This window comes from Homo sapiens, chromosome 3, assembly GCF_000001405.40.
Source record: "Homo sapiens chromosome 3, GRCh38.p14 Primary Assembly".
Classification (NCBI taxonomy): Eukaryota; Metazoa; Chordata; class Mammalia; order Primates; family Hominidae; genus Homo; species Homo sapiens.
In genome coordinates, this window is record NC_000003.12 from 75,499,267 (window position 1) to 75,512,394 (window position 13,128).

The window sequence follows — 13,128 nt, forward strand, 5'->3', positions numbered from 1 at the left end:
CTTAGGAATTTCTAAGAAGGATCTGAAATGAAAAAAAAATCTTTTGAAAGGTATTTGTATAGCTTCACTTCAGCAAGATTCATGGTGGGTGTTAAACTAAGTGCTGGTGTTAAGCCAAACCATGTTTTTCAAAGACTCATCTGGCCTTAAGGTTGGCAGGATCAGAGTGGCCTCCCAGGATCTAACACATCCTCAGAAGAGTTGGTTCAACAGGCATGTACCCAGATCTCTTTGAGCTAGTATAATACTCCCTTGAGTCAAAGGCTGCCACATCACATCTCCTTTAAGTCCCCCTAAGTACGACCCCAGAAGCATTGATAAAGTGTGCTATTACTGAAGATTTCAGGAGGACATAAATGAAGAGATTAAACTGCAAGATACCAAAACTTCCATCTTTGCTAAAGACCCTCATCCAGCCTGGGTGCTGTGGCTCATGCCTGTAATCCCAGCACTTTGGGAGGCTAAGGCGGGGGGATCACCTTAGGTCGGGAGTTCAAGACCAGCTTGATCAACATGGAGAAACCCTGTCTCTACTAAAAATACAAAATTAGCCAGGTGTGGTGGCACATGCCTGTAATCCCAGCTACTAGGGAGGCTGAGGCAGGAGAATCACTTGAACCTGGGAGGTGTAGGTTGCGGTGAGCTGAGATCATGCCATTGCACTCCAGCCTGGGCAACAAGAGCAAAACTCCATCTCAAAAACAAACAAAAAAACCCTTATCCAATGGTCATGCCACTCTATCTCTCCATGTAATTTCTCCTCCTGGCTGTCTGTAGCAACAGCCTTCTGAGGAACCTCACTCTGCCTTTCAAAATCCCTTCAAATTGTACCCTTCATCAGCAAAGTATTTAGCTCAACATGTATGCCTCTGGGGGAACTCATCCACATGCCATTTAAGGATATTTCCAGCAACATCATCTTCACTACCCCAGGACAGCATTTTAGAGTGGATTACGTGCCTGCTGGATGTGTTGTTCTTGAGAGAGTTAGAGAAAACGCTACAGTTTGAGATGAATTAAGAGTCTGTTTATTTAGCCGGCGGCTAAGGAACGGCTAACGTTTAAAGTTCTCTCGGCTTCGAAGAAGGGGCTAAGATTTTCTTTTATACTTTGGTTTAGAAAGGGGAGGGGGGTCTAGTTAAAACAATTTTACATAAGTAAAGTAGGCAAAAAAGTTAAAAGGATAAATTGTTACAGGAAAGTAAACAGTTCTAGGTCTAGGGCCTTTAAGACTATTATAAGGTGATAGACACGGGACTTTGGGCGTTATCAATAGGATGAATTCCTGGGAACTGCGGTTATTGCTCACCACAGTATCTTATCAGTTAATTGCATTCTTCGATGTGCTGGGAGTCAGCTTGCACAAGTTAAGTCCTTGAGGAAGGGGCTGCCAGTGAAAGAGCCAAGAAATGGAGTCTGTCTGGCTCTCTTAGCTAAGGGAGAGTCAATTCAGGTGGAAACAAGGCTAGGTCACTAAAAGAAAGGGAGAGTCTAAGAACACGGTTAGTAAAAACAAGGTTAGGCATTACATTCCTCACTTGTGTTTTTGGGGAATCAAATCATTGATTCTTCAGTTATAAAAAGGGGGTTATATTGAGTCTTAAGATACATAAGTTTGACAGAAGCTATGCGTTGTTCTACAAACTTAAGGAACTAATTTAATATACAAGGCCCAAAAATTAGACTTATTAGTAGGATGGGGAGGGGGTCTGGCTAATTTAGTAATTAGAGTGGTTAGCTATGGGTTCTAGTTGAACATGTTTTGATACTAGGGGATGTTATTTTCTTGTTCTTGTTGGCGCTTGTCTAGATTTTCTTGCACTTTTTGGAGTGTATCTTTTATGACTAAGAATGGTGGAGGAACTATTAAATCAACTTTGTCAGGGTGTTTCTGGAACATAGGGTTACTTAGATCAGTTAAAGGTCTGATTGGCTTGGGTGGGCTTCATGAGACTAGGGTTTTTTTGGATGGTGAACATAGACTTAACATTAAATCCTGGGATATAAAATCTTAATCTTCATGCCATGCCATGATACTATTGAGTTGAATTGAGGTCATGGACAGTTATAATAAGAGGATTACAATTTTTTCTAGTACATAATTTAGGATGAGAAGCATGACTTATGGAAAGAGTTGAAGATCTGGTTGATCTTTTAGAGTAGGTGGCTAAAGTTACACATGTCTAATCAGGGCAGAAAAACTGATAAGCATCTTGACAGCTAGCATCAGGGTGATTTCTAGGACAGAGGTAAAAGTCAATATTTTGGAGTCTTTTTTCTGCACTTTTGGAGCTTCTTCATTTAGTTTGGCTCTTGGAATGTCTGAATCTTGCTGCAAGGTCGACACTTCCTGCCCCTGGGACTGGAAGATTGTGTTGCTTTTCGTGGGTATGGGCTGGCTTTGGGAAAAGTACAAATAAATCAACTGCGAAGGAGACTTCCTTGGAGGTACTGGCCTTCTAAGTGGTGTTTGCAAATACACGTCCTGTTGTGAAAGAGGTGAGGAGAAAGGAGTAGGAAGGCACAGAGGACATAAAGCGCAAAAACAAATAAGTGAGGTAGATAAAAAGAATTAATCTAATGGCTTCACCTGACTTAGGTGCAGTTTTAAGGGGTCTGACTTAGGCCTGGAGACTTATGTTTTTAGCTGGGCTCTGTTGGCTTTTTTGATGCGGGGGTGATGAATCTAAGCAGGAATGCCGTCTACTTTCAGAGCAGTTGGAGTCGTGAGGATGACGGTGTGAGGTCTTTTCTAAGCAGGAGTGAGTCTTTCTTTTTGGAACTTTTTAACAAACACTAGGTCTCCTGGCTGGAATGAATGGCAGGAGTGCACCTTACTTTAAGTAGGGCTAAAGGAAGGAGACTTACTTAATTTACACTGGTTTTTAAGATTTTGTAAGAGTGTTTTTTAGGGTGTGGTTCACGCGTTCTACTTGCCTGGAGCTCTGGGGTTGATAGGCACAATGGAGCTTCTATTGAATGTTTAACGCCTTACTGACTGACTGAGCTATAGGCGAGGTGAAGGCTGGTCTATTATCAGACTTTATGGCAGCAGGCAACCTATATTGAGGGATGATTTCATTGCATAAAAACTTAACTACTGTGTTGGTGGTTTCGTTTTCGGTAGCAAATGCCTTAGTCTATCTGGAGAAGGTGTCTACTCGTACTAGAAGGTATTTGTACTTAGCCTGGTGTGGTTTTACTTCTGTAAAGTCAATTTCTTACTTTTTTCTTGGCGAGTTTTTTCAGAGACAGTGGCCAGGGCTGGGTTTAGGACTCTGTTTGGCATTTACATGAGCGCAGGTTGTGCACTGGAGAGCTGCTTAATCTGTTAGGCTTTGAAGACGGGGGATCTTAAAATGGCTCCGGAGGAGCTGAGGTAGCTTTGCTCTTTTTAAGTGGGTGGTAGACTGTAGGTGACTGATTAAAGTTTCTTTAATAGTTCAGGATATGAAGAGTCTAGAGTCAGGAAGAATCTACTAACTTTCCTGATTTTTATTGGCTCTGAGATCTGAAGCCAGTTTTTTGTTGTTGTTGAGTATATGGGATTGTCAGGCAGATCTGGCTGTGGAAAGGAGACTGTGGGCAGCAAGTTTAGAGGCGTGACTGAAAGTGGCGCTGTGACCTTAGCTGCTGAATCAGCTTTCTGGTTACTATGGGCAACAGCCTTGTTTTCTTTTTGATGTCCTTTGCAGTGGATCACAGCTACCTGCTGAGGTGAGTAGCCTGCTTTCCTGGTAGATGGCTTTATGTACATGCACAGTAGCAAAGGCGTACTTGCTGCCAGTGTAAATGTTAATACGTTTATTCTTAGTTTATCGGAGAGCCTGAGTGAGGGCGATCAATTCAGCCTTTTGTGCTGAGGTGTTCGCTGGTAAAGCTTGAGCTTACAACACGTCTGTCTTCATGGTAACAGCTGCACTGGCTTTTCCTACTTCCTGCTTGAGGAAGCGGCTACTGTCTGTGAACACGGCGGCATCTGCCTTTTCCAGGGGCACATCTTGAAGATCAGATCGGCCAGTTTCGATAGTTTCTAACAGTTCTTGACAGTCATGAGCAGGAATAGTGCACTCTGAGTCAGGAAGTAGTGTAGCTGGATTGAAACACTTTGTGGGATAGAAAGTCAAACGAGGCTGATCTAACAGTAAACTTCGATACTGCAAGATGCGAGCATTTGACATCTATTTGCCAGAAGCACTTCGTAGTAAGGTCTTTACAGCACGAGGAGCTGTAAGGGTTAAATTTTGGCTTAGAGTAAACTTATCTTCTTGGGCTAGGCTTGCTGTAGCCTCTACAGCTCACAGACAACTTGGCCATCTAGAGGCCACAGGATGTAGCCTCTTAGATAAATAGGCCACTGGGTGTCTTTAGGGTCTTAAAGCCTGAGTAAGCACCTCTTTAGCAACTCCTTGGCTTTTATGGAGATATTAGGGAGGGCTAAAGCAGGGGCTTCAGTTAATGCTAAATTAATGGGCTATTTTATTCTGCACTTCTTGGATAGCCGCCACTAAGATTTTTGTTTGTCTTTTGAATGCTTTATCAGCGGCCTTTTCAGCTGCCTGTGTTGCTTGTTTTTGTTTTTTAGCCTTTTGATGGTCAAAAGCTTTTTGGGCTATTTGTAAAAGCTGACTGATATTTATTCTAGCAAATCTTTCTAGTTTTTGGAGTTTCTTTTTAATATCCGGGGCTGCCTGAGCCACAAATGCTAAATTAAAAGCACGGCTATTTTCCGGAGCTGCCGGGTCAAAAGGGGTGTAAATCCAATAAGCCTCCTGGAGACGCTCTAAAAACTTTCTTGGTGACTTATCGGGCCTTTGGACAACTTCAGTGATCTTAGACAAGTTTATGGGTTTCTGAGCGGCTCTTTTAATACTTGCGAGGAGATAGCGGTGAAAATCGCCTAAAGCTCTCCTTCTACTTGAGGAATTTGGGTCCCAGTTAGGCCAGGTAGAGGGAAAGACCTCTTCAAGGAGGTCTCTAGTGTCTTCTTCCGGTCTATTGGCTGATGTGAGGAATTATTTTTGGCTTCTTTTCGGATACGTTCGTTTTTTTCAGAGGTGAAAAGGGTTAAAAGGAGCTGTTGGCAATCATCTTAGGTGGTCAGGTGAGTCCAGAGTACGGACTCTATTAGAGAGGTCAAAGCCTGGGGCTTCTCAGAGAAGGGAGGATTATGGGTTTTCTAATTATATAAGTCAGAAGTAGAAAAAGGGACATAAACTAAGAAGGGGGCTGAGCGCTCATTACCTGGAGGGACTTGTGCCTCTCTCAGTGGTAGTAGAGGGGCTACTTCTTCCTGCCACGGTCGCGATTGAGAGGCAATGGGTGGCGAGCCTACAGGGGACGTCGTCGAGGAGACATGGGATAACTTTAAGGGAGCAGGCTGGTTGTAAGGCGGTGGGACTGGGTGAGGGAGACTCTCCTCTTCTTCAGAGGGAGGCAGTACAGGGGAAGCCGAACCGGCTGAGGGTCGAGGTGAAAACGCGGTCTGGCTTAGGAGGACCTTGGAGGTAGAATTCTGAATGGCGCATGAGCGGAGCTATGGAGGGGCTCCTGACTAAACTTAGCTATTGATCAAGGTAGGGAAACTGATCAGGGTGGCTAGGAGTTTCAGTAAGAACCTGCCACACAGTTTGAACAATTGTGAGGTTCAACGACCCTTCAGGGGGCCACTTGACTTTAAACTTTGGCCATTTTATTTTGCACAGTGTCTGGAGTTTGCCTTTTTTAAGGCGGACTTTATAATCCTCTGAGAAACTGAGAGGAAAATTCTGCAGCACACATTGGAGAGGGCTTTAACTTTTACAAGGCTGGGAGGAAGTGTTTCTTATTTTTTTTTGAAGGCAATTTAATAAGATTTGAGCATAAATATTAAACTTAGCATGGACAGAGAAACTTATTTCTTAGGGGACTGGAGTATTGAAAGAACAGAATCAACATGACTAGAAAGAGCAGAAAAACTACAACAGCTAATGCTACTTGCTACATTACTGTAGCTTTAAGATTGAGGGAGGAGGACTAGAGCCAGCCTGAGATCTTCTGGGTCAGTTTGATCTAGGCGTTCTTCTTCTTCTAGATCTGTACTTTAAATACTTTTGGTGTCTTTATGACTTAAAGGCAAATAGCTTAAACTTAGCTTTTTCTTTTAAGGGTTTAAGGAGTGAGAGCAGAGTCAAGTCATGGAGATGCTGAACTTGCTGTCACACCAGAAAATGAGACGTGCAGGGTAGAGGGCAGGGACGATGCAAAAAGGACTACTCAGATCATTTTTAAGATGGGAGAGTAGCCACAGAGGAACAGAGTAAGAATCTCAACGAAGTAAAGTAGTACGGGCATACGTTCTACTTCAGGGCACAGGAAAAGTTACAGAATGACAAAAGAAGTGAGCAAGGAAATCTGCATGGTGGCTGTTTTGAATTTACTACTGGTTTAGTTTAGAGGAGGTCTAATCACTTGGACGTGGGGTATGACAATCCAAATACTTACAACTTTCATGGTGCTAGAAATCTTAATCAGGCAAATGTTTTTCACACTTGTTCTTGTAACAACACTTGACTTGCTTCTGGCAGAAAAGACAGGACTGTGGTGGCCAGCCTAAATGATTGATAAGAAATTTAACCTCCTGTGACAAAAAATCAGCACTAAGGACTTTGAAGAAGTTTTTACTTAGATGTCTTGGGCAATATCAACGTCTTGACATGCAAAACTTTGACAACTACTAAACAAGAAAATAGACACTGAACAGAACAATCAACATAAACAATTGACTTTAGGGCATGTAAACAGTTATGACAGTTTCTTCCTTTTTTTTTTTTTTTTAGACAGACAAGGGGAGGGGGTCCTGTGATGAGATCAGTCAGATGCCTGCCTGGCCGCTCCCCCTGAGGGAACTTGGGCTCCTCTTAGCATTGGCAGGCCGGTATAAACTTCCGGCTCAGATCGAGATATGCCTGATGCTGCCTTAAGCCTTATGAGGTCGCCACGGAACCGCAGGTGAGGGCCCACTTGAACTCCGTAGCTTTCACCGTGGAGCTATAAACTGGAGGACAAGCGCAAGCCCTTGTCCTCCCTCATTCATTCATTATTCACACAGAGTTTATAACAGTTTTTTTTTTCTTTCTTTCTTGGAGATTCTTCAAGAAACTTGAACAAGAGAAAGATGAGAGATAGAAAGAGAGAGAGAGAGAGAGAGAGAGAGAGAGAGTGACCGGTCTGCCAGAAACCAGGACTCAGTCCTCCAGCATCCTGGGATGTGGACTGAGTCAAGGGAGGGCCCCTGTCAGGGCCACTTCCCTCCTAGACAGAGACACAGACGTGCCTAACAGAAAACCAGGGCTCTACCTTCTAGCATCCTAGGGAAATGGGCAGAGTCAAAAGAGGGACGTCGTCATCAGGGCCGCTTCCCTCTTACTAGAACTGAAGTCAAATCTGACCTACCTGACCTCGGGGTCACAAGTTGAGGACTCAGAGGTGGAATTTTTGTGGGCACCCACACGGTAGTCGATCTGCTCTCCTCCGGAAGACGGTCACCTTTCGGGGACCTGAAAATTTTTTTTCAGGTGGCGCCCCCATTACAAGCCGGCCGTCCTTCCGGGGGGGCCCGGAGCAAGCCCGGCTCTCGCCTGGTGGCGTTTCTCACTAGGGCCTCCAAATGTTGTACTTGAGCGAGTTAGAGAAAATGCCACAATTTGAGACGAATTATGAGTCTTTATTTAGCCGGTGGCCAAGATACGGCTAATGCTTAAAGTTCTCTCAGCCCCGAAGAAGGGGCTAGATTTTCTTTTATACTTTAGTTTAGAAAGGGGAAAGGGGTCTAGTTAAAACAATTTTACAGAAGTAGGCAAAGAAGTTAAAAGGATAAATTGTTACAGGAAAGTAAACAGTTCTAGGTCTAAGGGCTTTAAGACTATTACAAAGTGATAGACACGGGGCTTTAGGCATTATCAATCAGACGAATTCCTAGGAACTGTGGATATTGCTCGCCCCACAGTATCTTATCAGTTAATTGCATTCTTAGATGTGCTAAGAGTCAGCTTGCACAAGTTAAGTCCTTGAGGAAGGGGCTGCCAGTGAAAAAGCCAAGATAAAGTCTGTCTAGCTCTCTTAGCTAAAAGAAAGTCAATTCAGGTAGAAACAAGGCTAAGTGATTAAAAGAAAAGGAACGTCTACGAACAAAGTTAATAAAAACAAGGTTAGGCTTTACAGATGGGGTCATCCTTATATTCAGCACAGTGTTTGTTCTGAAACTTCAATGGAGTGTTCCTAGTTTGATAACTTGGGCCATGCCAAATAAATTGAATTTCTCTTTCTTAACAACAGATGTTTGAATACAGCCCCGTGTCCCTCTCTGCTCCTTCCTGCCTTCCTCCTCTCCTCTTCCTTCCCTTCCTTTTCAAGAGCAGGCTTTGTAAAATTTCTTGAAAGCATCAGATAGTAAATATTTTAGAATTCATGGGCCATACAGTCTCTTGTAGTAGTTACTCAACTCTGCCACCCATAGCATGAAAGCAGCTGATATAGGGTGAATATGTCTCCCCGCCGAAATCTCATGTTGCAATGTAATCCCCAGTGTTAGAGGTGGGGCCTGGTGGGGACAGATTGGATCATGGGGGTGGATTTCTCATGAATGATTTAGCATCATCCCTTTCGTCCTGTCCTTGCAATAGTGAGTGAGATCTTGCAAGATCTGGTTGTTTACGAGTGCGTAGCACCTCCCTCCTCACTCTCTTGTTCCCACTTCACCTTCTGCCATGATTGTAAGTTTCCTGAGGCCTCCACAGAAGCTCAGCAGATGTCAGTGTCATGCTCCCTGTACAGCCTACAAAACTGTGAGCAAATTAAGCCTCTTTTCTTTGTACATTACCCAGTCTCAGGTATTTCCTTATAGCATGAGAGAACAGCCTAATCCAGCAGCCATAGACAATATGTAGCAAATGGGCATGGCTGTGTTTCAATAAAACTTTATTGACAAAAACTTGTGCAGCAGGTCAGATTTGACCCATGGGCCATAGTATCCCATCCCCTGCTCTGGAATATTCTCTTCAGCCTGGATGGACATTTCTAGGTTTTTGTTTTTGTTTTTTTGTTTTTTTTTTTTTGAGACAAAGTCTCACTGTTGCCCAGGCTGGAGTGCAGTGGTGCAATCTTTGCCCACTGCAACCTCTGCCTCCTGGGTTCAAGCAATTCTCCTGCCTCAGCCTCCCAAGTAGCTGGGATTACAGGCACCTGCCACCACACCTGGCTAATTTTTGTATTTTTTAATAGAAATCGGGTTTTACCATGTTGGCCAGGCTGGTCTCAAACTCCTGACATCAGGTGATCCACCCACCTCAGCCTCCCAAAATGCTGAGATTACAGGCGCCCACCATCACACCTGGCTAATTTTTGTATGTTTAGTAGAGATGTGATTTCACTATGTTGCCCAGGCTAGTCTCGAACTCCTGATCTCAAGTGATCCACCTGCCTTGGCCTCCCAAAGTGCTGGGATTACAGGTGTAAGCCACTGCAGCTGCCCTCTAGATTTTTTTTTTTTTTTTTGACCATGGCTTATTTGGTTTGACTTTCATTTTCTTCCCCATTGTGGTAGCCATTTTCTGAATGCCTGTTAGTTTGTCCATCTCTCTCCTCTGTAGTCCCTAGAGTCAGATGAACTCCTCTGCAGGTGCAATGGTGTAACACTCTCTAGTGCTGAATTTTGAGCAGGAGAAAGAGAGCAAGAGTGACAAGCACTCTTGGAAACTCTGGCCTCCTGAGAATTTGGTGTCTTCTCTGCAAAGGCTGCAAACCTGTTACCCCACAGGCCAGAGAGAGAGAGAAGCCAAAAGCATGATCTGTTAAGCTTGAGTTTAATATTTGATGCACAGAGATCACTGTGTTTTTTGATGAGAATTAGAGGGGGAGACACGGCCACAGAGAACAATTTCTATCCCCACGTGATGACTTAGGAGATAATTCTGTGAACAGAACTTCCTGAGAACTGAGATGGGGGAAAATCGCTAGTGTTAGAAGGGTGAAAACGTCACTAATTAAGGCTATGACTATGTCTGAGAGGCGAAAGAAGAAAATGAGACTGCCAGGCATGAAAAATGAGAAATCTTTGATGGAATTAGCCATGCAGAGCAAATCTAAATGCATCCTCATTCCCCTCATAGTCAAAAGTTTTTGCTTAAGCTGGATGGGAAAAAGAGAATCCCATTTCACTAAGTATAAAAGAGGGGATTTTAGAGAAGGTCTCAGAAGAAAGAGATGTGGGGGTTTGGTGAAACTCACCAGAGGCTGAACCCTCTCCAGCATAACACAGGGATTGGGAGGAGTGGGGTAGCATTAGGCCAGGTGCATGGCCCAGTGCTGCTCTCTCTGGACTTTCTGCTCTCTCTGGACCTGTTTGCTAGCTGAGCTCATCCATTTGCATAATTTTCAGTGCCATTTCTCAGCTGATGAGTCCTGAACTTTTGTCTTGAGGCTAGACTTCTCCTTCAAACAGCAGTCTTAAACACTCAACTTCTTTCTTGTTTTTTCCACTTGTCAACCCATGAACACCTCAATCTTGTTACATCCAAAGCCAAACTCATGGCTTGGAGTGGTAAGTGATGGCTGTAATCCCAGTGCTATGAGAGGCCGAGGTGGGAGGATTACTTGAGGCCAGGAGTTTGAAGCCAGCCTGGAAAACACAGTGAGACTCCCTGTCTACCAAAAAAAAAAAAAAAAAAAAAAAATTAGCTAGGCATGGTGAAGTGCATCTGTAGGATCTGTAATCCTGCTGCTTGGGAGGCTGAGGCAGGAGGATTGCTTGAGCCCAGGAGTTTGAGGCTGCAAAGAGCTATGATCACACCAATGCACTCCAGCCTGGGTGACAGAGCCAGAGACCCTGTCTTAAAAAAAACCCAAAGCCAAACTCTCTTTTTCCTCCTTCTCCATGGGCTCTGTCTGTGCCATCTCTGTTCTGTAAATGGCACCACCCCCTACTGGGCTGCTCAAGGTGGTCATAACTCACGTGTTGTGCTAACTCTGCTTTTGCCCTCTTCTCCAGTCAGCAAGTCCCATGATTCTAAACTTTATCCAACTTGTCCACTCTCTCTATCTTCACTGTCGTTATCTTTGCCTAGGGCACTGCTATCCCAGCTGGGCTACAGCAGCAGCCTCCTAACTGGTCTTAACTGGTCCTCTGCACCTGATCTTGATGCTCAGCAATCCATTTCCCACCTGGCAGCTTCAGTGATCTTGAGGTGTCCATTGAGTCTCATCCCTGCCTTTCCTGCCCATGGCACATAGAATAAAATCAAGAGCCTGAGTCTTCTTCCTGTTCCTGCCACCTCTCCAGCCCTCTCCTATCTCCTCCCCTTGGCCTACTCTATTTCAGCCACTCTGGCTTCCTTTTGTTTTGTTGGACTTTCAAACCTTTTTCCACAACAGGGCCTTTGCACTTGCTGCTTCAGTCTGGAATGATTTTCCTCTGCACCTCCCCAAATTAGACCATCCTTTAGGTCTCAGCTAAAATGGTGCTTCCAACAGAGAGCTCTTTCCTGACCCCTTTATAAAGTGGACTTCCCTGCTCTTCTCCACCTTAGCCTCCTATTATTTCTTGTTGTGGGAAGTCAGGGACCCCAAATGGAGGGACTGGCTGGAGCTGCAGCAGAGGAACATAAATTGTGAAGATTTCATGGACATTTATCAGTTCCCAAATAATACTTTTATAATTTCTTATGCCTGTCTTTAATCTCTTAATCCTGTTATATTCATAAGCTAAGGATGTACATCACCTCAGGACCACTGTGATAATTGTGTTAACTGTACCAATTGATTTTAAAACATGTGTGTTTCAACAATATGAAATCAGTGCACCTTGAAAAAGAAGAGAATAACAGCGATTTTTAGGGAACAAGGGAAGATAACCATAAGGTCTGACTGCCTGCAGGGTCGGGCAAAAAGAACCATATGTTTCTTCTTGCAGACAGTCTATAAACGGATGTGCAAGTAGGAGAGATATCACTAAATTCTTTTCCTAGCAAGGAATATTAATACCCTGGGAAAGGAATGCACTCCTGGGGGGAGGTCTATAAATGGCCGCTTTGGGAATGTCTGTCTTATGCGGTTGAGATAAGGACTGAGATAGGCCCTGGTCTCATGCAGTACCCAAAGGCTTACTAGGGTGGAGAAAAACTCCGCCCTGGTAAATCTGTGGTCAGACTGGTTCTCTTGTTTTCTGTTGTTTAAGATGTTTATCAAGACAATACATGCGCCAATGAACATAGACCCTTATCAGTGGTTCTGCTTTTGACCTTTGCTTTGTGATCATTGCTGGACCCTTATCAGTAGTTCTGCTTTTACCCTTTGCCCTGTTCCCTCAGAAGCATGTGATCTTTGTTAGACCCTTAGTAGTAATTCTGCTCTTTGCCCTTTGAAGCATGTGATCTTTGTACCTACTTCCTGTTCTTACACCCCCTCCCCTTTTGAAACCCTTAATTAAGAACTTGCTGGTCTGAGACTCAGGGGGCATCATGGCCCTACTGATAGGTAATGTCACCTCCAGTGGCCCAGCTGTGAAATTCCTCTCTTTGTAGTGTCTCTCTTTATTTCTCAGCTGGCTGACACTTATGGAAAACAGAAAGAACCTATGTTGAAATATTGGGGGCAGGTTCCACCAATACTTCTTTCATGGATTTACTTAATTTTTGTTTATCTCCCTCTGTATCCTAGAAACTCCTGGAGAGCAGAGCCATGCCTGCCATTTCCATCATTGCATTACCACCACCCAGCACAGTGCCTGGCACAAAAGAGTTGCTCAATAAATAAATCAGGATGAATGGATAAATACACGGACAGGCACTTTGAACTACAGATGAGCTTAAATACTTTGTGTTTTTCTTAGTCAAACATGTGCAATTAAGCATGTGATAAATTATATGATGACCACACCTGTGTCTTGCCTGATGATCTTTGCAATCACTAAACAAAGTCAATTTTGCCTGTTTTGACAGTTCTGTTTTCAACCTAATCTGGTTCTTTTAACTTCTGGCTGTTGGCTTTGTTTGCGTTGTTAGCCTGACAAAGTGGCAGATATTGGTATAAGCTCTTTTGTTTAAATGCCACGAACTTTAAAAATGCCTTTGCTTTTGGTAAGAAACCCTAGTT

General features: G+C 43.8%; 1 long non-coding RNA gene across 1 annotated transcript in view; it reads left to right on the plus strand.

Annotated features, from left to right (window-relative positions):
• The window catches only part of LINC02018 (long intergenic non-protein coding RNA 2018), a 76,870-nt gene extending 63,959 nt beyond the window's left edge, over positions 1-12,911 (plus strand). Inside the window, exon 3 of the long non-coding RNA NR_151705.1 lies at positions 12,694-12,911. This is a non-coding gene — a long non-coding RNA (long intergenic non-protein coding RNA 2018). The remainder of the gene's footprint in view (positions 1-12,693) is intronic.
• Positions 12,912-13,128: the final 217 nt, after the last annotated feature.